Source organism: Homo sapiens, chromosome 3 (genome assembly GCF_000001405.40).
Source record: "Homo sapiens chromosome 3, GRCh38.p14 Primary Assembly".
NCBI classification, from domain to species: Eukaryota; Metazoa; Chordata; class Mammalia; order Primates; family Hominidae; genus Homo; species Homo sapiens.
This window is the reverse complement of record NC_000003.12, coordinates 175,242,970-175,266,401: the sequence shown is the minus strand read 5'-3', so window position 1 is coordinate 175,266,401 and position 23,432 is coordinate 175,242,970. Positions and strand designations below refer to the sequence as shown.

Sequence of the window (23,432 nt, the reverse complement as noted above, 5' to 3'; positions counted from 1 at the left end):
TATGTATATTTCTAGATTATATAATCTGACCTTTCCTAATTTTTTAATAAAAAATTGATTTAAAATGTAAAATTATTCCAATATTGATTAAAATTTTGTGTTGTATGTTTAAATTTAAATATTAGATGATTAAAATATTTAAATAATTAAGATGTTAGATGGTTATAATATTCAAGTAACTATGAATATATTAATTTAGGAAAATTCATAAGATATTTAAAATAAATGAGATTACCGGGTGTATTCTAAAATGCAATATGAGAGAAAATATACAAAATAAAATTACATAGACTTAATGAAATTTTGAAATGCAAATCTAGTAAATAAGAAGTACCTTTTTTACCTGCAATATAAAGGCTTTTTTTAACTGCTCGATATTAAAACTACAAAAGCTTTATTCTTAACTATAATATATATGATCTATAAACCCAATAGTGTTTGCATAAATACAGCAAATATATATTTTCAGTTAAAAAGCAATTTAATGAATATTCATGAGGATAATAAATTAACATATATTAGCAGTTACTTATTAAAATAATATTTTATTGAGTGCATATTGTTTTCAAAGTTCAATTGAAAATATTTTCTGTTTGTATAGATTTAAGTTTTTATAGCTTATTACAGGCTAATTTGTTATAAAAATAAGACATTGATTGATTTCAAAACCATATACGTTGGGCAGTTATAATTTTAATTACAAAAGTTTTAGGGAGAAGTATTTTTTTCCCAAACAGATATTAAATTTCCAATAATGTTTCCTTCCAAAAGTAATTTAATTCTGCCTCCACATATTTTATAGTAACAGATAGTAAAATTCAAACTGCTGCCTAATGCTCCTTAGCAATGTGTTCTTAAGCAAGATAGTAATAATAATTAAGCAATATTTATCAAGAGACAGTCAGACAAAAAGAGAAAATGAGCGAGAACTTAGAGCCATATATATAGTGACTAATAATTAGACCTCAAGTTAATTCTTTTAAAACTCTATTGGTATAGAATTAAGGGTTTATTTATTTGTTTGTTTCTTAAGCACCATCTTACCTATGAAATATCAATGCAGAAATGAAAGTAACTATGCTAAATCACAAAGTCAGTTTTAGGATATTGTAAACTGAAATACATAAGAAAACAATGAACTAGAATTTCAATGTCATAACCATTCCGGAAATAAATCTAAGCCTTGAAGTCCTGAGTTTCAACTTAAAACAAACAGAGCAGGGGTTCTACCATTTAGCAAATGACAAAACTTACATTTTGAGTCCATAGAATAGTAACCACTAGGAAAATATAATCCAAGGAGAAAATATAGTTCTTGATAAAATCTTTCCATATGATTAAATTAAATGTCAGCTGACTTTCGATGAATGTTTAGTATGTGCCAGGCATTGTGTTGAGTACTTACATGTATTATATTATTTCAATTATTTTTCACAACTTTATGATGTAGGCTATTACACGATATTCACAATTTTGTGATATGGTTTTTGGGAACCATACTTGATATCTCAACTTTGGAAAATAAATTAAAATGTGTATTAGAATAAAACTATTCTATAAATGTAATATACTTCTAATTTTTAAAAATATTGTTTTTCTAATATTATATAATTTCATCACCTTAATAAAAAGTATATGCATAAAAATAAACACTGAAGGATGTAAAAATCTAAAGCATGTACCATCTTATGACATTATTTATATTTCTCCATAATTTAAAGTCAAGTTATATTTATTTTTAACATTAATTTATTCATTTATTTATATCTGTTTTATTCCACAAAAACAATTTGAAGACTTCAGTTTTTTTTCTGTTTAACTCAAAGATCAAATTACGCTACAAAGCACCAACACAATCCTTAGTGCTGAATAACACAAAGGTGCAGTCTTGAGAGACTAATACTTTGTCTGTAATGGATTTATTAAGTATATTATTATCTTCAGTTTAGGTTTGCATGTTTGAGTGAGCTGTCACACTTCTCCATCATTAAATTCATGCCCTTTCTCTTTAGAACCTCATACAGATATTAAGGGCTTCATATATAAAAGTTAATATTTATTAAGAATTTATCATGCATGCATTTTCAGATTTAATCTTCACACAACCTTATGAATTGAGAGTATTTTTGTCATCAATGTAGAGATTTTGAAAACCAAAAAATAAAAAATAAGAAAAAACTTGTGTGACTTTAGTGGGGTTCAGTAATAATTCTATGATCACATAACTATGAAGTAGAAGAGCTTGAAATTGAGCTTGTTTCTCCCATTCTTGCATCCTGCAATGCTGTGTTTCACTATTTAAAATGAGTTACAAGTTGAGCAGATAGCAGTACAGAAGATTGGAAGGGCTGTGAAGCTTATCAACAGGAGGAAAAATGGACATTTTAAACGAGATACAGAGGAAGAGGGAAAAGCTGAAATGTGAAAGAAGAGGTCAGTATTACCACAAAGCACCACAGCAGATATCTATATTGATAAGCCCAAGTAATTGCCCAACAGTTTAGACCAAAATATAGCTAGAGCTTACTGTTTTAAATTTTAGAGTACTATATAATATATATATAAATATTTCTGAAACATGGGTACTTTTAGGGGGCGAACTGTATAGAAGGGATTAGCTGCTGTTTCTTTCCCTTCCTCCCTTCTTTTCTTCATCTCTCCATCACTGTTTTCTCTCTCTCTTCCTTGCTATTTTACTTTGTTTAATTTATAACATTTAATTAGGAAAAACAAGATGCTCAGCACCTTTATTTAATATTGTTAACTTTGTATACATACATGGGGATTATGAATGCTAACTATATTACAATAAGAAATATGCGAAAATCAACCTTCTGATACATGATGCCATTTGCTATGATGTCGTAATTTTCAAATGGTTCAAAAGTACAATTAAATTATATTTTCATGTAGGCAAAACACATGCATGACTTCTAAATTATGCATTCAATTCTTGACAGACTTTGAAGATTCGTAGACACACTTTTATTTGGTTTTAAGCCATGGAAAATACTTTAAAAACAGGAATAGAAGTTGAAACTTTCAGTTATTCTTGCTCTAAATTTACTTTTTTAAAGTTTGATTGCTAAATTGCAGAATAATGACACAGTCTTAAGTCTTTATATTATAACCCATGTTTGAAGTTGTATCTCAACAAAAAATACCCTTTGTAGATATAGTAATATTTGGTTTAAATCATTTAAAAATAATTTACTTCCATCATTGGAAAACAGAAAGTAGTCTGATTTGAAAACAGCAGCAGATTTAGCTTTCAAAACATTAAACTATTACTTTCCAATTTTGTATTCTAGTGCTGACCATGTTGTCCATGACAAATGGAGCAGCTCTGGAGTCTTAGAATCATAAAAGATGGAGACATTGTTTTTTGTTTTTTTTTTTTTTGCAATTACTTCTGAGAATTAGGTAAGAAGTGCCTTATTAAATTATTCAGTGAACAAGCATGTTATTTTAAAGTACCAAGATAGTGTTTGCTTTTCATTTTTGTTCATAAAATGTCTTCAAAAGTTGTCTTAATAAAAAAAGAGGCAAGTTTGCCTTCCTATACAGATCATATGTAAAAACATCATTTGTGACACTGAATTAAAGATTTGTTTTCATGTAAAATATTCATAGAATGTCACTTAAAGAGATTTCTTCAGTTCATTCATACCAGGGAAAATTATGATGTATCAAAAGCTTCAATAGGAAAGGTGTCTTTCTCTTCTTTCCTATCTTTTTGGCCCCACTGCCTCATTACATTAGGCCATATCAGTGCTCATACATACAGCTCATACACACACACACACACACACACACACACACACACTCACACAACATGAATATTTTATCTGTTAAATATTGATTTCCTTTTTTGTGCCCATTGCATTAGGCACCCTATATCTTTAAGGCTAACTAATTAAATGCATCTACAGATTTTATTTTTGGGAAACAAAAAATAGAGTTCCACCAACTTCTACCGCAAGAAAAGTAGAGCAAATGTTGGTTTCTAATAATTAGAATAAATAAAACAATATTCTTTTGACTGCATTTATCATTTGGATTGAACAAATGTTCTTAAGGGAAACAAAAAGGAAACTAGAATAAATGAAACTTTTAGTTCAGCAAATATCACAGGTATGCAAATGCTTCATGTAAAATAAGTTATCAAAATGTAATATTTCTCAGCATTAACTTTAGCTGCCAAAACTAGAGGATTTCTTATTGATCTTCCCATTGTCCATTCATTAACTATTGATTGTAAATCACCAATATATATAAATATTTTCTCACTAAACCTCTAACTCAATATTTTAAATGTAATTATTTTCTGGATTCAGTTGTGTTTGAAATTCAGAGTGTCAAGTCTGCTTTTCTTTAAATAATGCTACTCCTCCGTAATTTGCAAGAAGCAATTTACTTGAAAGTACAAACAAATACCAATTCTCATTTCCTATCTCTCATTTTCCTCCAGGCTCTTTCCAAAGGCTTGTCTGTCTAAGCATGCTTTATGGACTTAAGCAGTGCTGAAGTTATACACTGGCCCAATAAGGGACAACAATATGTAGATGTCAAGTCACATATCTAAAAGCCATTTGCTTATACTAGTTTCTATTTATATTAAAATATAAATCTTATCTGATGAATACACAAAAATGTTTCATTTGTAGGAAACTACAAAATCATTTGGATGTCTGGCCCTTTAAAATTGTCATTATAAGGATAAAAAAGTATATAAGAATAATGAAAAAACTAGCTAATATTGACTAATATCTTAGTATATTACAGAAAGTACTAGGTAGTGATGCATATTACTGCATTTATAAAAAAAAGCAATAGAGTTTTTGGATTTTTTGTGTAATTTAATTATGCACAAATGGATAATTAATCAAGATATATATTCATCTGTAATTTCACTGCACACAAAATTGGCTTCTACAGGAAAGGGGGTTGATATGTACTGTGGATTTAGACAACAGCCCAACCTCCATGTTTCAGAGGGATTTCCTTGATTTCTAGTTGTCTTGTAGTACACAGTAACTTTTTGTTATTATTGCTTCTGGTAGAAATGACCCTAAGTAGAAAGTCAAATGCTTTCATTGAATTTTATAAAATTAATTTCCATACTAGAGTGCTATTCTGCAGTTTGGGATTTTGTGAGGGTCTCGGTATCTGTTTTACTATGTGTCAGGTTGTCACTGAGAGAAATGTGAGTACATTGTGACGAATTAATGTTTGTCTAAAAGTTTAAATATTTAAAGCACTCTCCCAAAAAATAAACTGTTATAAATACGTAGCTAAAATGAACCTAAAGCCTTTCCTCTAAGTCTTCAGCTTGAGGAAACTAGCACAACTATAACTGGGGAACTTGGTCGATGCTTTTTCTGCAGCAAGATGTGGATTTCACAGCACATATCAGAAAGCCATTTGCAGTTCATAGTTCCTACCCTGCAATGTTGGGATTTTCTCATCAATCTCTTCCTAGAGATTAAATTACATACATTCTTAGTATTTATGATCAAACCAATGAGATCTCCTCCTTCATGACTGCAGATTATTTTTCTCCTCATTTCAAGAGATAATCTAATAATTTAATATCATAATTATGCTTCCCCTTTGCCCTCCCTAGCTCGGATGTAGAGATTCCCTCCCAAATTCATTTTTAAACGCTGATTTAGTAACTACTGCACAGCCAAAATAAAATGAACTTCTCTTTACTCATTCAGCTGCATGTTCCCAGACAAAATGTTCATTTAGAATCATGACTAACTGTTGATTCATAAAGAAGTCTGTTGGTTTTCTGCCTTTTTCAACCCAGCTGAATTACATTTTACCTCATTTCTGAATTTTAGCTCCAGAATATATTTGATGGACAGTTGAAGCAAATTGGGCCGTAATCATGCTGCATAACTATGTTTAATACATGCTTCCTTTTTCTTACCAATGGAATGTATATTGAAAGATACAGCAGCAATGAGTTCCCCCAAATCTCTGGGACAATCCACAGAAAACAGAAGAGATGACTAGAATGGAAATTACAGGGTTGCAGAGAGGACCTCCTATCTCCTCTTTCTAGAAGACAATGCCAAGTTTGTGGCAAGGCTCTGTCTCAAGGGGCATTCTACACAGAAATTTTTTTTAAATTTATTTAATAGGCCTAGAAGGAAAATTATCAGGGAAAATGATATCAGGATCTTTATAGCTGTGCCCTATTCCAGATAAACCACTAACTCACTACTTTGTAAATATAGTCAAAGGGTTTTATAATGTAAATATTATCTGTAGCAAATACAAAGAAACTTGCTTTGTTTTAATCCATCATATACTGGTGAAGATTTTCAGTATTTGACCTCTGAGCACAGTTAGAATTTTTTTTTTTAATGGAGTTTCATTCTGTCACCCAGGCTGGAGTGCAGTGGTGAAATCCTGGCTCACTACAACCTCCACCTCCCGGGTTCAAGCGATGCTCGTGCCTCAGTCTCCCAAGTAGCTGGCATTATAGGTGCGCACCACCACACCCAGCTAATTTTTGAATTTTTGGTAGAGACAGGGTTTTGCCATATTGGCCAGGCTGGTCTTGAACTCCTGGGCTTACGTGATCCAAAGGTGCTGGCATTACAGGTGTGAGCCACCATGACCGGCCAGGTTAGAAAAAATTATAATTGCTGTATTTTAACCTGAATTTTCAAAAGCTTGTTTCTGTATACAAAATAAATACACAACAATTATAGAACATTTAGAAATGCAAAATATAACGGAAAAGTAGAAATTATCCATAATTCTATCTAACCAGTTATATAATTGGCCCCTACCACACACATTTTTGTCACTGGTAGGTTGAACAAGGAAAATTCATGTAATGTACCAAAAGCAATAGAACTTTCTTTCCCATTACTCTTTTAAAAGTATCCCTAGAGGTTCATTTTTCCTGAAACACCTACATAAAAAGTTGGACTGTCCCACTATTCCTCTGACTATTGTTAATAATAAAAGTCCTATAATTGATTTGAGTTAGCAGAGTCTTAAATAAGTAATTAGGTTTCCTAGTCTCATCATGATCAAAATTCTACTCTTGATTTAAAATCGTATCTTCTTGCCCCTCCACCAGCTCAGGTCTGCTTTTGGGGAAAGGGGTGTGGTCTGTTATTTCCTTCCCAATGTATTAACTATACTCTTACCTATCTGTTGTTGGAGAAGGCTTAGAAATTAGAGGTTCAGTGGGTAGGATTTTTCTTATGTTACTGTGCTTGTCCTATGGAAGCTCCACACGTTCTGGGGCTCACAGATGTTTAAAGCTGCCTTTGGATCTCCTGGGCATTTGTGAATTAACTGAAGCAGTACCTACTGCAATTTACTTGATGTAGACAAATGCCGCTTTAATCTGGCTGGTCACTGCCTAATGAGTCACCATTACAAGTGGCAATTTCAGTACAGGCGTGAAGGCAGACCACACTGGCTCTCTGTCACATGTGCTTATGACTGACCCATGGGAAACGCATGCATATTTATTTTTCTGCTGCCTACTCATGGGATGCAGGCCAATGTCAACACAGATAATTTATTTTTGTATTTATTTATTAAATGCTTAGTAAACCCATCTCTTACCTTTAGGCTTCTCAGATAAATCAGACACCATTCTATCACGTCCCCCACATTGCAGGGGACATACATTAAGCCCTCCATGTGGTTCCATTGAAGCCCCAGTCACCAGGCATGCAGCTGAACTTATCATAAATCTCTCCAAAATTCCTCTTCATAAAATCCTCTCCCCACAATCTCCAAACCTTTTCTATCTCAGATATGAGTGATAGGTTTAATAGTCTAACCTATTTTACATTATTTCCTTTAAAATATTGATGCTTGGTAGCTAACTTTGAAATGTTCACGTTTCTTTATCATGGAATCCTAGCTAAAAATTCTAATTTAGCCTCTTAATTATCTCTCTATCTATTGATGTATTCTAGCTCCCACCACTCCACCCCACACAGGCAAGTATACATACACATTCAAGACGGGATCTGAAATGAGACTGCCTGGGTTGAAAGCCTGATTGTTTCTTTCTTTTTTTTTTTTTTTTTTTGGTGGTGGGGGCGGAGGGACGGAGTCTCGCCCTCTGTTGCCCAGGCTGGAGTGCAGTGGCGTGATCTCGGCTCATTGCAAGTTCTGCCTCCCGGGTTCAAGCGATTCTCTTGCCTCAGCCTCCCAAGTAGCTGGGACTACAGGCGCCCGCCACCACGCCTGGCTAATTTTTTGTATTTTTAGTAGAGACAGGGTTTCACCATGTTGGCCAAGATGGTCTCAATCTCCTGACCTCGTGCTCTGCCCACCTCGGCCTCCAGAAGTGCTGGGATTACAGGTGTGAGACACCGCGCCTGGCCCCATCGTTTCATTTAACTAGCTCTTTGTCTTTGAGCCAGTCACTTTTTCTTTTTGTGTCTTACTCCATTTATAATCTGAAGATAATAATAGTCCCTACCTCAACAATATGATTATTTTGAAGATTAATATAATACATTTTTTAAAGGCTTAGAAAATTATCTAGCACATGTCATTAATAATGTTACCTTCATAGGCAATAATAAAATCACTAGTATTGTAATTATTATAAATGTTCTCTTGATCTTTTTTTTGATTTATGAGGATTTTTACATGTCATTAAATATTCTCCTTTACATCAAATTGTTATAGCATATTCAGAAAATCAGTATAAAGGCAGCATGATTTTCAAATACTAAATTGGATGTATATATCATTTCTAATATTTTGTCACATCATCGGGCATTACTATGTTTATCACCTCTGTGTGCCCCCCCACCCTGACCCCAACCTTAGAATACATTGATTGAACAGGAAATTCTGGGTTAAAATATGATTATTTTAAGGCTTTTAATACATATTAAAAATTATCCAGCAAAAATTTAGTATCACTGTATATTCTGTTTTCAAGAGTATCTTAAAATTCTGGCCCATCTAATCTACTATTAAACACTGATTTAAGGATAAGAGTATTATTGGAAGATAATAAAAAAAAAACAGACATAGGATGTTCTCTAGTTTCCTAATAGAGTGTGCCAAGAGATTCCTGGAAATGTTTTTGGACCTGGGAGTTAGCAAAGCTCATTTAAGGTTGAATGAGGAGAAATCCAATATATCTTCAGAAGCAGAGAGTTTTGCTGACATAACTACACTAATTTTTTTTTTTTTTTTTTTTAAATAGAAAAAGGAAATGAAGCAAGAATGAGCAGTAGTGGCTGTCTATTGTGCTGGTTCATCATCAGAAACTTAATTACATAAGTGTATCTGTGGATGAGTGTTAATAAACTTCCATTCAAATAAAATAAATCAAAATTCTGCTACTCTTAGCAATTATATTTTAATTAAAATCCTGATCACAGTTAGTAACTGTAGTTGTATAGTTGACAAAATAATCACTAAAGGGTGTAAATCATCTAGATACTTGTCTAACATAGAGAACATGATAATTAGTCCATTTGATAATAGATTAGAAGTTTCACATATGTCATAAGATGAACACAGGGTGGTTCTCATTTTTTACTATTCCAGATAGGTACCATTATGAAGAGTATGCCAATTTTATTAAGGTCCCACAAACTCAGTGTTACCTGACTTAAGGTATTTTCTCTCTAAAGAAATAAGGGCATAAATATATTGTTCTTAAATATCTTAAATTAAAATGTTCTAATGTGGAAAAGCCATCTTTCTGTGACACTCTCTGCCTCTCTTTCTTCCTCTCCCCTTCTCTCTCTCACACACCTATATGCACACACACACTCCACACTCACAAAAGCATATAATTCCAACAAAACAAGGCAAAATATTGACCAAACCACTGAATAACATTCACTGGACCAACCTTATAAAGCAGTGGCAATTTTCCTAATTTCAGGAGTGCGATCTGATTTGTTACGTTTTTTATTTTCCTAATCCTTTTTAAATCATCTGCCATTCCATAACTCACATCGATGACTTCAGCCTGAAAGAGGAGAAAAAACAAAGAAAAATAAAGCCTCAGAGGAAGAAGTATAGCCAATTGTCCATTTAGTATAACAAAATTATTCATCATAATTTGAAATGTTCAATATAGAATTAATTCTATCTCTTACCCTGTCCCAATTACCATAAACATGACCTTTCTATTTCTATCAAGGTACAGCAATTCTTCTGGGCACTAGAGAAAATGTGTGAGTCATTTTTGCTTTGCTCTCTCTCTCTTCTAAAAAATTACAAACACAGTTCATTCTTCTAACAGACATTTGGGATATTCTACATTCATGTTTCTGGAATATGAGCCATTTTACAAAACATTGAAAGATTAATTTCCTTAAGGTTCAACAGCAATTATATAATGCTCAGGCTTGAAAGAAAATTCAAAGGTTTTCTATTGCTATCCAAATTAAGTGCAATGTCCTCACTTGCATGGTCATCCTGAACAGCTGCTCATGATGCTCCATTCAACATTGTGCAATAGCCAGCTGTGAATGACAAATCCTTGAGTCGTGCAGAATACAACCTGTTCAACCACATGTGGCAGTCTAGCAACCCAGGACTTTAGAACATGGCCCCAAATTATCATTTCTGTCACATTTCCCACTACTCACCTAGAGTTACATTTGACCTCAATGTTACCCATTTTTATAAGTCCTCTGTGTTAATGCAAAAAAGAAAAAATCTCATGCCTTTCTGGAGATTTCAATAAAAACCTTCTCTTGTAGTGAATCCTTTCCTTCTCCTTAAAAAGCACTGAACTGCAGATTCATATATTCCTATGGGCCAAGACGATTGATTTTAGCTTTACTCTCTGTAATATCTATTTATTATTAAAACAATAGTTGTTATGCTTTCCAATGATTATATTATAATGTAAATCTGCTATTTCAAATTATAGCATATATCCACAGAGAGGCTGATTAAAAAAGAAAACAGTTAGTCATGGCAAATCATGAAAAAAATAAAGATGGAGAATCCAGATCACCAGCTTTCCATCCTTCTCGATTGAAACTAATGCACTTCAACAAGTTTCATACATAATACTTCCATAAAAGATTCATCTGAAGAAAGAGCATTGTTTCTATAGGAACATATGAATACCTCCAAGAGATCTGTAAATCTGTTAGAGAAAATATTTCTGGCATGAAATATTTCTTCAGCCATCACATTCATCTGTATCTGTAAAAACTCTATGAATACATTAACGTTCATTTCAAATGTCACCTACCTGATGAATTTTATTTATCTGTTGCCCAAATATGGCCTCTCTCTACTTTGGCTCCCAGAGTAATCTGTTTTTGCCTCTCTTAAGGCCCTCACTAGACATGTCTGCCAGTTTCAGTTTCCAATACAGGGAAATTCCTTGGTGAAGAGCCCATTACATACCCATACTCGCCCAGGTGTCCAGCATATGCTATGGACTCAGTAGGGTTGAATCAAAATGATTATAGCTCATACAATATCTCTAAAAAGTTAAGCTGTACTTTCAAATGCATTTGTCAGGGAAATTTAATTGTTAAAAACACTTCTGTCAGAATGATTTTCATTATAATTTTATTCCTATTAAAAATGATTAAATCAGTGCCTTTAATACATTTTTTAGTTGGCTGATACCATTACCATATAAATAACTGTTGATATATGATTTTAAAAGTCTGATTAAGTAAATGATCACATAATATTAATGATTACATTGCAAAAGTGAGAAAAATTCCTATTTTTCATTTGATTTCTAAGCTACCTACTAATTATTTGTGATTCACTGACAGCATCTTATAATAAGGCTATTACTCAATTGGTAATGTAAGTGAACTTTTTTTATATGTAGCAGAGGTCAAGGAAAACCTTACTTGTTTTGGAGGATATAGATCAGATTGTGTATACAGGCATACATCAGAGATTGCAAGTTCAGTTCCATACTACCACAGTAAAGCAAATATTGCAATAAAGTGAATCACACAGATTTTGGGTTTTTCCCATATATATAATAGTTATGTTCACACTATATTGTAGTCTATTAAGTGTGCAGTAGCATTATGTCTAAAACAAATTTAAAAATACTTTATTGGTCTGAGTGTTCAGTACATTTTTATATTTTTGCTAGTGAAAGGTCTTGCCTCAATGTTAGTGGCTGCTAACTGATCAGGGTCACAGTTGCTAAAGGTTAGGGTGGCTTTGGTAATTTCTTAAAATAAGACAACAGTGAAGTTTGCCACATCAACTGACTCTTCCTTTGATAAAATATTTCTCTGTATCTCTCATGACATGCTGTTTGATAGCATTTTACCCAAAATAGAACTTCTTTAAAATTGGTGTCAATTATCTCAAAAACCCTATTGCTGCTTTAATGAACTCAGTTTACGTAGTATTCTAAATCCTTTGTTGTCATTTCAACAATGTTCCCGGGAATTGGAAAGATAGAGTCTAGAAGTAGATTCCATCTCAAAAAACCACTTTCGTTATTCATCCATAAGAAATAACTCTTCATCCGTTCAAGTTTCATCATGACATTGCAACAATTTAGTCACATCTTCAGGTTCAACTTCAAATTCTAGTTTCCTTGCTATTTCCACCACCTCTGCAGTTACCTCCTTAAAATCTTGAACCCCTCAAACTCGTCTATAAGGGTTGAAACCAATTTCTTTCAAACTCCCGTTAATGCTGATATTTTGACCTGCTCTCACGAACCACAAATGTGGCTAATGGCATTTAGAATGGTGTATCCTTTCCAGAAAGTTTTCTATGTACTTTCTCAGATTTATCAGTGGAATCACTATCTGGGGAAGCTACAATCTTACAAATATATTTCTTAAATAATAAGACTTGAAAGTTGAAATTACTCTATAATCTAAGGGCTGTAGAATGGATGTTGTGTTAGTAGCTTTGAAAACAACATGAACCTCCTGTACATCACCATCGGAGCTCTTGGGTGACCAGGTACATTGACAGAGAGCAATAATTTTTTGAAAGGAATCTTTTTTTCAGAGCAGTAGGTCTCAACAGTGAGGTTGAATATTGTTATTCAGTAGTCCATGTGTAAACATATTTGCTGTTATCCAGTCTTTGTTGTTCCATTTCTAAAGCACAGCAGGGTAGGCTTAGCATAATTCTTAAGGACCCTAGCATTTTTAGAATGGTAAATGAGCACTGGCTTCAACTTCAAGTCACCAGCAGCATTACATCCTAACGAGAGTCAGCCTTACCTTTGGAGCTTGGAAGCCTGGCCTAGCCTTCTTCTCTCTAGCTATGAATGTATTAGATGACATCTTCTTCCAACCTAAGGCTGTTTTGTCTACACGGAAAATCTCTTGTTTAGTGTAGCCACTTTCATTAGTACCTTAACTAGGTCTTACAGATAACTCTCTGTGGCTTCTATATTAGAAGATGCTGATTCACCCTGTACTTTTATGTCATGGAGATAGCTTCTTTTCTTAAACCTCATGGATCAACCCCTGTTAACTTCAAACTTCTGCAGCTTCCTCATATCTCGCAGCTTTCACACAACTGAAAAGAGTTAGGGGCTTGCTCTGGATTAGGCTTTGGCTAAATAAAATGTTGTGGTTTGTTTGATCTTCTATCCTGATCACTCAAACTTTCTCCATATCAGCAATAGGGCTGTTTTGCTCTCTAATTATTCATGTGTTCACTAGAGTAGCATTTTAATTGCTTCCAAGAACTTTTCCTTAGCATTCACAACTTGGCTGTTTGACACAAGGGATCTAGCTTGTGACCTATCTTGGCTTTTGACCTGCCTTCCTTACTAAGCTTAATCATTTCTTCTTATTGAAAGTGAGAGACATGTAACTCTTCCTTTCACTTAGAGGCCATTGTAGGATTCTTAATTGGTTTCATTTCAATATTGTTTTGTTTCAGGGAATACAGAGGCCCAGGAGAGGGAGGCCCAGGAGAGGGAGGGAGATGGCAAATGGCTGGTGGGTACAGCAGTCAGAATTCAATAATATTTATTGAGTCAGTTTGCTGTCTTATATGGGTGCATTTCCTGGTGCCTCAAAATAATAACAATGGACAATGGTAACATCTGAGATTACTGATCACAGATAACCCTAACACATATAACCATAATGAAAAAGATTGGAATATTGCAGGAATTATCAAAAAGTGACATAGAGATGTGAGCTGAGCACAGGTGCTGAAAAAAATGGTACCAACAGACTTGCTAAATGCAGGGTTGCCGTGACCTTCAAATTGTTGAAAACACAGTATCTGTGAAGCACCCTAAGGTGAAACACAATAAATCCAGATATGCCTGTATAACAGAAAGGTATGACAGGTACAAAAATACAAATTCTTCAAAAGACATTTACAATATTGGAACATATCAATAGGCTGAGTCAACAATTTTAATTAAATAGCTCTTCAACTCATCTTCTCTAAATAGTACATGTTAATAAATCAAAGTGTTTTAGCATGTAAGAGGATTTGTAGTTTTTCCCACAAAAAATAGTTCTAAATACAGACAACGTTGTATCAATTTATTTTGGCTTATGCACTAAAAATCAATAATTACAGAAGTCTCAATGTTTTGATGGATTTGCAGGCAATAATAAAAATGTATCCATTGCCTTCAAAGCAAGCCTTAAAACTAGATCCTTTTTGAAAGTCTTTTCTATAGACTTTCAAGCAAACTGAACATCACAGCTGCAGGAAAGCACATTGAATTTTTTGAGGCACAAATCAATATACAATGATATGATAAAATGCCAAGTCATTTTTTCCACATATTCTTGTTGCTACAATGAACCTCTTCTTTCCGCATTTATTCTGTCACACTAGAAAACTGTTCACTCAACTAGTTGGGGTACTATGTTAACTTACAACCAAATACCAATGATTAAGACACATCTTACTGGTCTCTATGGGAAATGTCAAATGAGCACAAATCTAGTTACTTAAGCTATCCATTCTGTACCACAGTTTTTCTAATGAAAAGGAAGTCTAAGGACTGCCTTGGCACATAAGAGAGAGTAATTGAGACGTGCGACTTAGTTCCTGTTTTACATTTTATTTTACCAGAGAGAAATATTTAAAAGTCTACATGTTAATTTTTAATTCAGATTCTATACATTCATTTTTATAACCAAGAACAAGGAACTAAACACAACAGCAACAATTGAAAAGGAAATAAAATATCTTATTCTATGTTAAAAAAGGAATCAAAGTTTTGGGATGACGACAAAGAGTGGTGGGCCACATACGCAGAGCTGTGACAAAGATTTCCACACTTTAAAAAGTTAATTTTTTAAAGTGGCATTCTATGTATCAGTGGTTCTATGGTTTTTAATTTGAGTGCCATAGATCACAAACATTTTAAAATAAAAACCTCGTTTTTATAGAAATCTCGTTTCCCTCATCTGGCTCCTCTGGAAACCAAATCAGATAGGTTGCCCTCTTCTTTTTATGGGTGCCATAAAGCGTTAAATACATCACTCAGACAAAGATGTTGTTTATCAACGGCATGCTAACAGGGATCCCATGTTATAATGAAGAAATGTACTATTACACAGATCAAGCTTCAGACTTGTAAAACAGATGTAACTAAGGAAAAGAAAACATTTAGTGAGCTCCTATTATGTGCTAGGAACATTGCATATAATATCCTATTTTCTTCAGATAGCAATCTTGCATTGTCACTGTTTTATAGATAAGGAAAATGATGCTCAGAGAGGTAAAAGAAGCTGTCCAACTTATATGACTAGAATTCAAGGATGGCACTAGATTGTTTCTAGTCACCTTCAGAAGGTCTTTTCATTGGAAGGAACAATGGGCATTTGGTGGCCACTAGAGAAAGACACTGTTGAGGGCACCACTGAATTAAACACAGCAAATCAATTTGTTGAGTAATGACTATTGTTAAAATTTCAGATTCCATGTCCCATTCAAGAACTATCAAACCAGAATCTCTGAGAATTGGCTGTCATAACAAAATACCATAGGCTGGATGGCTTAAACAACACAAATTTATTATCTGAGTTATGGAGGCTAAGAATTCAAGATCAAGGTGCTAGCCAATTAGGTTTCTGGCAATGGCTCTCCTACTGGCTTGTGGACAATCAGCTTCTCACTATGTCCCCACATGACAAACACACCACACACACACACACACACACACACACACACACACAGAAAAAGTGAGAGAAAAAGAGAGAGCAAACTCTCAGGTATCTATTCTTATAAGAATACTAATCGCTCTTTTTTTTTTTTTTTTTAAGACCGAATTTTGCTCTTGTTGCCCAGGCTGGAGTGCAGTGGCACGATCTTGACTAACGGCAACCTCCACTCCCGGGTTCAAGCGATTCTCCTGCCTCAGCCTTCCTGAGTAGCTGGGATTACAGGCATGCGCCACCACGCCCGGCTAATTTTGCATTTTTAGTATAGACGGAGTTTCTCCATGTTGGTTAGGCTGGTCTCGAACTCCCGACCTCAGATGATCCGTCTGCCTCGGCCTCCCAAAGTTGCTGGGATTACAGGCGTGAGCCACTGCACCCGGCAAGAATATAATCTTATCAGATCAGGACCCAACCCTTGTGACCTCATTTAACCTTAAATGCCTTCTTGTAGGGGAAATTCTCAAATATAGTCACACTAGAGGGTCTAGGATCAATGGATGAATTCTGGGAAAGAAGACACAAGTCAGTCCATAGAGGGGCCCTAGAATGTATATTACTTAGTTACCCTAAAGTTCTCACTTTGCTCAAAATAAGACTTTTATACTGGGAGGAACAAAACTACTTGGAAGTTAATAAAAAATAACTTCCAACACAATAATTTTTGTTTCCAGAAGAGTACTCTATATTCATTGAGATATATGTGACGTATGTGAGAGAGAAATAATATGATCAATAAAGTAATTCAAATAAAAAATAAAAATATCTATCATCAGTGATAGAGAATAAATGCAAATATTAAATTTATACCTTTTTTAAAAAACAGGTAGAGTAAAATGATTCAAAGATATTTTGTGTCAAATTGTTTAATAAATATGGCAATGGGGATAAAATAATTCATTTCTATTTCACATTAATTTCTCTAATATGGATAATCCTCTATTATTTTAAATATCAAACTTTTCACAAATGAAAGATTCAATCTTTAATTAGAATTTTAACTTACAAAAAATACTTTTTTCAGGTAATAAATAAAATTTGGGAGAAAATAAAGTATAATGCCAAGAAACAAAAAGTGTCTACCTTATTAATAAAGAAAATAAATAAATGAAAACTTTTCAAACTGATCGAGCTCAACTTCCTCATATACGCACACAAAAAATAAACAAGAGTAGCTATTTCCAAACTAAATAAATAATCTACTAATTCCTATTCAGTTGTACTCCCTAAATGTCAATAATCACACTAGATAGAAACAAACATTGACTCTAGACCAAAATTGGTGATATCACAAAGGTGATTCTGATAGAACTATATAATTCTGTTTGATACAATGGCTCTACACACCTTATGTCAGACAGCTATATTATTCATTGAAAATGAGATATTTATATTGTTTGGCAATAACAAAACAACTAGGCTTCCTAGTTTTTGTTTGCAACTATGATTGCAGTTGATTATAAAAAATCATATAATAATACTATATGGATATATATTTGAATACATATTTATGTACAGATGTGGCATATGCAGATAAGAACACATAGGGACGCCTTCATACATTCACACAGTGGCCACGGCAATCTTTCTGTTCTGAGCACCAAAAACAGTTATTGGCACACAGTAGGAACTAAATAAAATAAGTGAATGAATAAATGACTGAATATGTGTATATATCCAAACAGAGAAATTAATGCTGAAAAAGAAGAACCATAAATCACTTAATGGAGAGAGAGAGAGAGATTTGTATTTGGAGCTTCAAGTGAGACAAGATGTGTTGAAATTAGCTAGGGACTCCCTAGAAGATGGTGAAAGACAATAAATAATAAATCGATACATAAACTTGTTTTCAGTTATTGAGTGATCCAGAACTACCACCACCAAAAACAAATATTTTTATTAAGTACATTCTATATACCCAGCACTGTTACAAGTATTATGTATTCATTATCATCTCTAATCATGACAACAGTTCAAAGAGAAGAGATAAGTTACTGGAATCATCCCCCCTTTTTACAAATAAAGAAATCAAGGCAAGGAGATGGTAAGTAACATTTTCACAGTCACAGAGCTACTAAATAGTAGAACAGTAATTCAAAGATTGACAGCCTGACTCTGTAATCCGGATTTTTCCCCATATAATTTTTCATCACATTGTTATCGATTCTTTGCCAAAGAGAAAGCAGGTATACTAGAGAAGGCAGTAGAAGGTAAAAGGAAAGGCAGGGGCCCTTTTGAAGATTAAGCAGATGGTGCAGAGCTGATTCTATAAAAACTTAGCAGTCTAACCTTGGGTTAGTAAATGAACTTTTCTGGATCTCAGTGTCCTCATTAGTGAAATGAAGATTTTGAGATAGAACAGTGAATTAGATCATCGGGACCCAATCTGGATGATGATAAAAGTCAAAATTCTTGCATGGCCTGTTATGCCCTACATAATCCTCTCTTCATACTGCTCTATGACTTCATCTTTTCTACCAGGGCTGGCCTCAGAGGTTTGTGACCTGTGCAGTTGCACAAGGGTTGTGCTTTAAAAGTCTCCCTGCTTGGTTTAATGCTCTGCTGTCATTATCTTGAAATTCTTAATAATTTCTGAACAAGGCATTCTGCATTTTTATTTTACATTGAGTCTACAAATTATGTAGCTGGTCCTGCCTATTACTCTCCACTTTCTCCCTGGCACAACTACCAGCGACTAGCTGGAGTTGTATATGTCCCATAGGGTCTTGGATTTAGCTGTTCCTTGTTATTAGAAATACACCCTCTTTCCCGGATTCATTTGACTCATTATTTTGCCATTTTCAGGTCTTCTTTCAAATTTCAGCTATTATGGCAACTATAACTACCCCATTCAATACTACAACCACTCCACCCCAAAACAGCACTATCAGTTTGCTTTGCTCTGCTTTTATTTTTCCACAGCATGCTGCAATGCCTAACTATAATGAAATAATTAGCTAAATACACTTACTTATGTGTTTTATGTGTGTGTGTGTGTGTGTGTACACACATAATTTGCTTCTTTATTATGTTGATTGTCTCTTCCTTATACAATGTTTACATTTCACTATGGCTAGGATCTTTCTTCTCCTCACTGATTTATCCCAAGCACTTAAAACAGTGTGAAGTCAATAGTAAATAAATACCAGTTAAATGGTTAATAGCTTTAACAGTTTATATGAGGATAAAACATTGTGTCTAAAAGAAACCTAATGTCTAATACATTACATGGTCAAAGCAAAGAAAAATTATTTATGTAATTACTACGTAGGGAATTCCACACCCCAAAGTTCATACTCCACATCCTCTGTGACTCTTGAGACCACAAGACTGCTGGCAAAGGCAAAACAATCACTTTTACATTCATTCCAATAGAACTAAAAATGTGAGACTCTTAGGATAGTCATATCTTTTCTCTTGCTTTTCCCTAATATCATCAATAGTAAAGATTTTTAAACACATCACCAAGTAAGCTAGGTGTTTGCTTCAGGAGTACAAGATTTTGGAAACTTGCATTCCTATCTATATAGGAATGGAAAAACCACTCTTAGCAGAAGCAACAGAAAAGTAATTAAAAGAAAAGCAGAATTATTATTTCCTACAATCAGCTAAACACAATAAATAAAACAGTAATTAAAAGTAACTAAGTCAGGAAAATTACCCCGGTACAGTCCACCTGTGGGTGGCTGGGACTCCACACAGGGGAACATTCCAGTGCCATGTTTCTTCTCCACCTTGAGGAAGCAAAAATTATTCATGTGTATGAAATGATTAATGCATTGAAGTCTTTTAGACTTGACATTTTCAACCAAATCCATCATTCTGAGCCTTTCTCGTTCTCTAAGAGAGACTCAGAATGTACAAAATGTTTGAAAAGCCTGCTTAGACTAAAACAGTAATTTTCTACTCAAGTTCAGAAATGATAAACCCAAGCATTTCTGATAATGACAAACTACAATACTATCACAAGTATTGCTCACCTAAAAACGAGTTTCTGCTTTAGAAATTTCCTACTATCATATATAAATCTAGCTTTGAATTTACTTCAAATTAAAGTGGTTATATTTATTAAAAACTTGCAAAATCACAGTGATTATCCACGTTTACCTTCTTTCTTTCTAAAAATCATTAGAATCTTAGCATTGATAAAGATTTCAAAATTCAAAGACTGTTAGAATTATATTGGTGCTTCTGTTTTAGGTTCACTCAGTGGCTTTCCATCATGGTCATTATCATGAAGACCACAATGTATTGAAGGATGAAAACCAACACTGCCTTCCCCCACTCCTGTGGCAGACATAACTAAGCAATCATCATGTTTTCAAACTCTTTATCAAAATAGTGTTCCAGTTAAGACCAATTAGACAAGGGTTGGCATAAGAGGAGAGGTATTTAAAATATTTGGTAACTAGTACAGCACAAGTTCTAGTCAGTTAAAATGGACCTCCAATCCATTAGAAGGGACACTAGCTAGTGGACTAGACTGGTGCATTCCTGCAGAATTCAGAATTAAGCGTAAGATATACAATCAATTTTGCTGTCTTTGTTGCAAAGAACCAGATAAAGGGGTGACTTCTCAATTTTATCACTTCTTCTTTACTGCAGTATGTACACTTGCTGAAAAAATACTTGCTACAGTGATACACTAAATGCAGTGCTTAATGGCACAGTGACTATGTTTCAATAGCACAAATAACATAGATAAACCAGAGTTGCTACTTGCCTTGGCATACAGTAGTTGTTTAATACATTTGCAAAATGTCTTCAGTTTTACAATCTAACATATAATGCACATCCAAAGGACAAAAAAAGTTAAAATTATTGTGATAGAAATTTGGCTAAAGCAAAACCGTTTTGTCAGGATTTCATTTCCATACTTTACATCTATAGTCTCCAAAGTCAACAGACAAAATAATGCAAGTTTAATCTAATATTTCAGGCTAGAGTAAAAAATTGTAGATTGTCAGAAAGGCAAAACTTTAAACATTTTCCAGAATTTAATAAATAGTACCTTAGAGATTATATAGCTGTCCTTTCGTATTATTTGGTCAACATTTAAAAATATAACATAATTGGCCATAGCATCTTTCCTTTAGCTATTTATATTACACAGAGTTATTTTAAAAGCAAAAATATATATTTTAAAAAAGAGATTATGAAAAATATGTAGAGAAGTAGGAGAAAAAAAGGAGAAAACAGAATTATGGAAGTCCAAGAAAGAGGGTATTAAAGAGATAATTATTTCATTTTCTGGCAATATGTGACACACTGTATTCTGGTTTCTGAAGATAGGGAGGAAATGAGTTACAAAAGGTCCCTTTCCTACTGCTTACTTTCTCCTGCTGAGAGATCAACAACAACAACAAAAAGTAAACATAGACATCAACAGTTCAGAAAACTTTCAATGCTGACATGCCCCAAAGACAGTAAAACATAGGTAATGTAATAGAGGGTGATGAGAAATTACTTTAATAGGGGAAGTCAGGGAAGACGTTGCTAAGGAGTTCACATCCAAATGATGAGAAGCCATGCACAGACCTGGGGAATAACTTTTTAGACGGCAGTAAGTACATAGTCCTTGAAGGAATGAGGAACTGTACCAAATGAAACAGAGGCATCACACATACTGAGGAGTAAAACATGACTAGTAAATTTTGAAATAAAAAGTTATGCATTTTTATAGCGATGGGATTGGATACGGATAAAATTTCAGAAAATCTATCAAAGAAAGAAAGAACAACAGTTGGGTGGTAGATCTGAGCTAACGTACAGCTCAACAACGTGACAGTATCTCGGTTGGTTGCTCAACATTTACCAAAAAGAAGACTTAATGTTCATAGACTAAAACTATTTGAACCCATTTGGTTGATAAATCCTAGAAATGAAAAAAGAGGTACAGAGAAAGTGAATCTAGACTACTGTTTCTCAACATGAGAACGAATAAAATAAATTAGTGTAAAAGAGGTTAGCCTTACTCCATATATATTACCATGAAAGTCCCTAAAAACTGATCATGAGAGCTTCCGCAACTTTATCAGTTTTCCCATGGTTAACATATTTATTGCATTTTCCTGAAGCAAACTAGGAATAAAACTATTATAAGACACAAAATAAATAATCAACAACCATGCTAGCTGATTGCTCCCGAGATAAGGGTCCTAGAATGAAATTGTGAAAGTCAATCATCTCTCTCCTATGGTATGGGTAGAGGGCAATGGAGAGACATCGTTGCTGTGTTGAAAGTCCAGGCAGAGGGCTTGTGAGCCAGTCAGTCCCAGTTGCTTGAGGAGCAGGATGGAAGGTCAATAGCTATTTTGCAAAATATTCCAGGAGCCAGAAGTATCCCAGGAAGGTTTATATTTCAAAATAACTTGAGAGAAGTTTTAAAATTACCTTCCCTCTTGATTTTCCATTAGTTCTGTGGAGAAGGTAACTTTATCTTCCCATTTCAGACCTTGGGAAATCTGAAGGAAATTCCCTGCCCCTTTCAATATTATGATTAAATTTTGAGTAGCTTCTGTGGCCGTAGATGAAAGAGGTAGGGGACCTGAAGTGGGCACTGAGCACACTCTCACTTTCTAACACTACAGAGCAGTGTTCTTGGCTCTGTCCATTCCACCCTAATATTGTGGCCATGCTGTAATTGGCAATCTAGTCCATTGCTTTTAGTTGAACGCTGGGCAGCTGTATGCTAGTAAAATGGTTCTTGGGTTAAAAAAAAAAAAAAAAAAAAAAAAAAAGTCCTGATGTGTAGCATTTGCAAATTTCTATGGTTTAAAGATTTTCATTATAATTTATTTCAAATGACCAACAGGGCACTGTTTCCTGAGGAACTGTGGGAGAGATCATGAGAATTGGGAAAGATGCAAAAAATAAACTAACTAGCTGAAATAAACTGGTTTGTGCTGGCGTGTGTGTGTGCGTGCGTGTGTGTGTGTGTGTGTGTGTGTTTCCTTCTAAAGTGGTAGAACAAAACACTAGTAGGGGTTTTGGCAGGTAGCTGAAAACAGAAAACAGTTATGCATTAGAGATAGGGGTTAAAGCTTGTCCTTAATTAGGCCTTGGTCCAAAGAGAAGTCTCTCTAAAAGCAGATAATAGCAAGAAAGAGATAATGGCAAAAGGTGGTTCATAGGAAACTCCAGTTATTAGAAAATTGAGTATAGTGTGTGTGTGTGCGTGTGTGTGTGTGTGTGTGTGTGTTATGGAAAGGATTAAACCATACAGAACTGTTATGGCAGGATATAAAAATAAAACAAAACAAATACTTAACCATTCATGTCCCCTGTGCTAGACATTTTGCT

General features: G+C 34.1%; 1 protein-coding gene and 1 long non-coding RNA gene across 24 annotated transcripts in view; one reads left to right on the top strand and one right to left on the bottom strand.

Annotated features, from left to right (window-relative positions):
- Nucleotides 1–23,432, bottom strand: part of NAALADL2 (N-acetylated alpha-linked acidic dipeptidase like 2) — a 1,369,567-nt gene that overhangs the window by 544,147 nt on the left and 801,988 nt on the right. For all 23 annotated transcript variants that reach the window (XM_017006077.3, XM_047447876.1, XM_017006075.3 and 20 more), the window contains one exon: nt 9,872–9,991. In XM_017006077.3, the coding sequence (XP_016861566.1) occupies nt 9,872–9,991 (120 nt within the window). The remainder of the gene's footprint in view (nt 1–9,871; nt 9,992–23,432) is intronic.
- NAALADL2-AS2 (NAALADL2 antisense RNA 2) overlaps nt 1–23,432 on the top strand; it is a 36,005-nt gene that overhangs the window by 4,695 nt on the left and 7,878 nt on the right. The window lies entirely within an intron of this gene.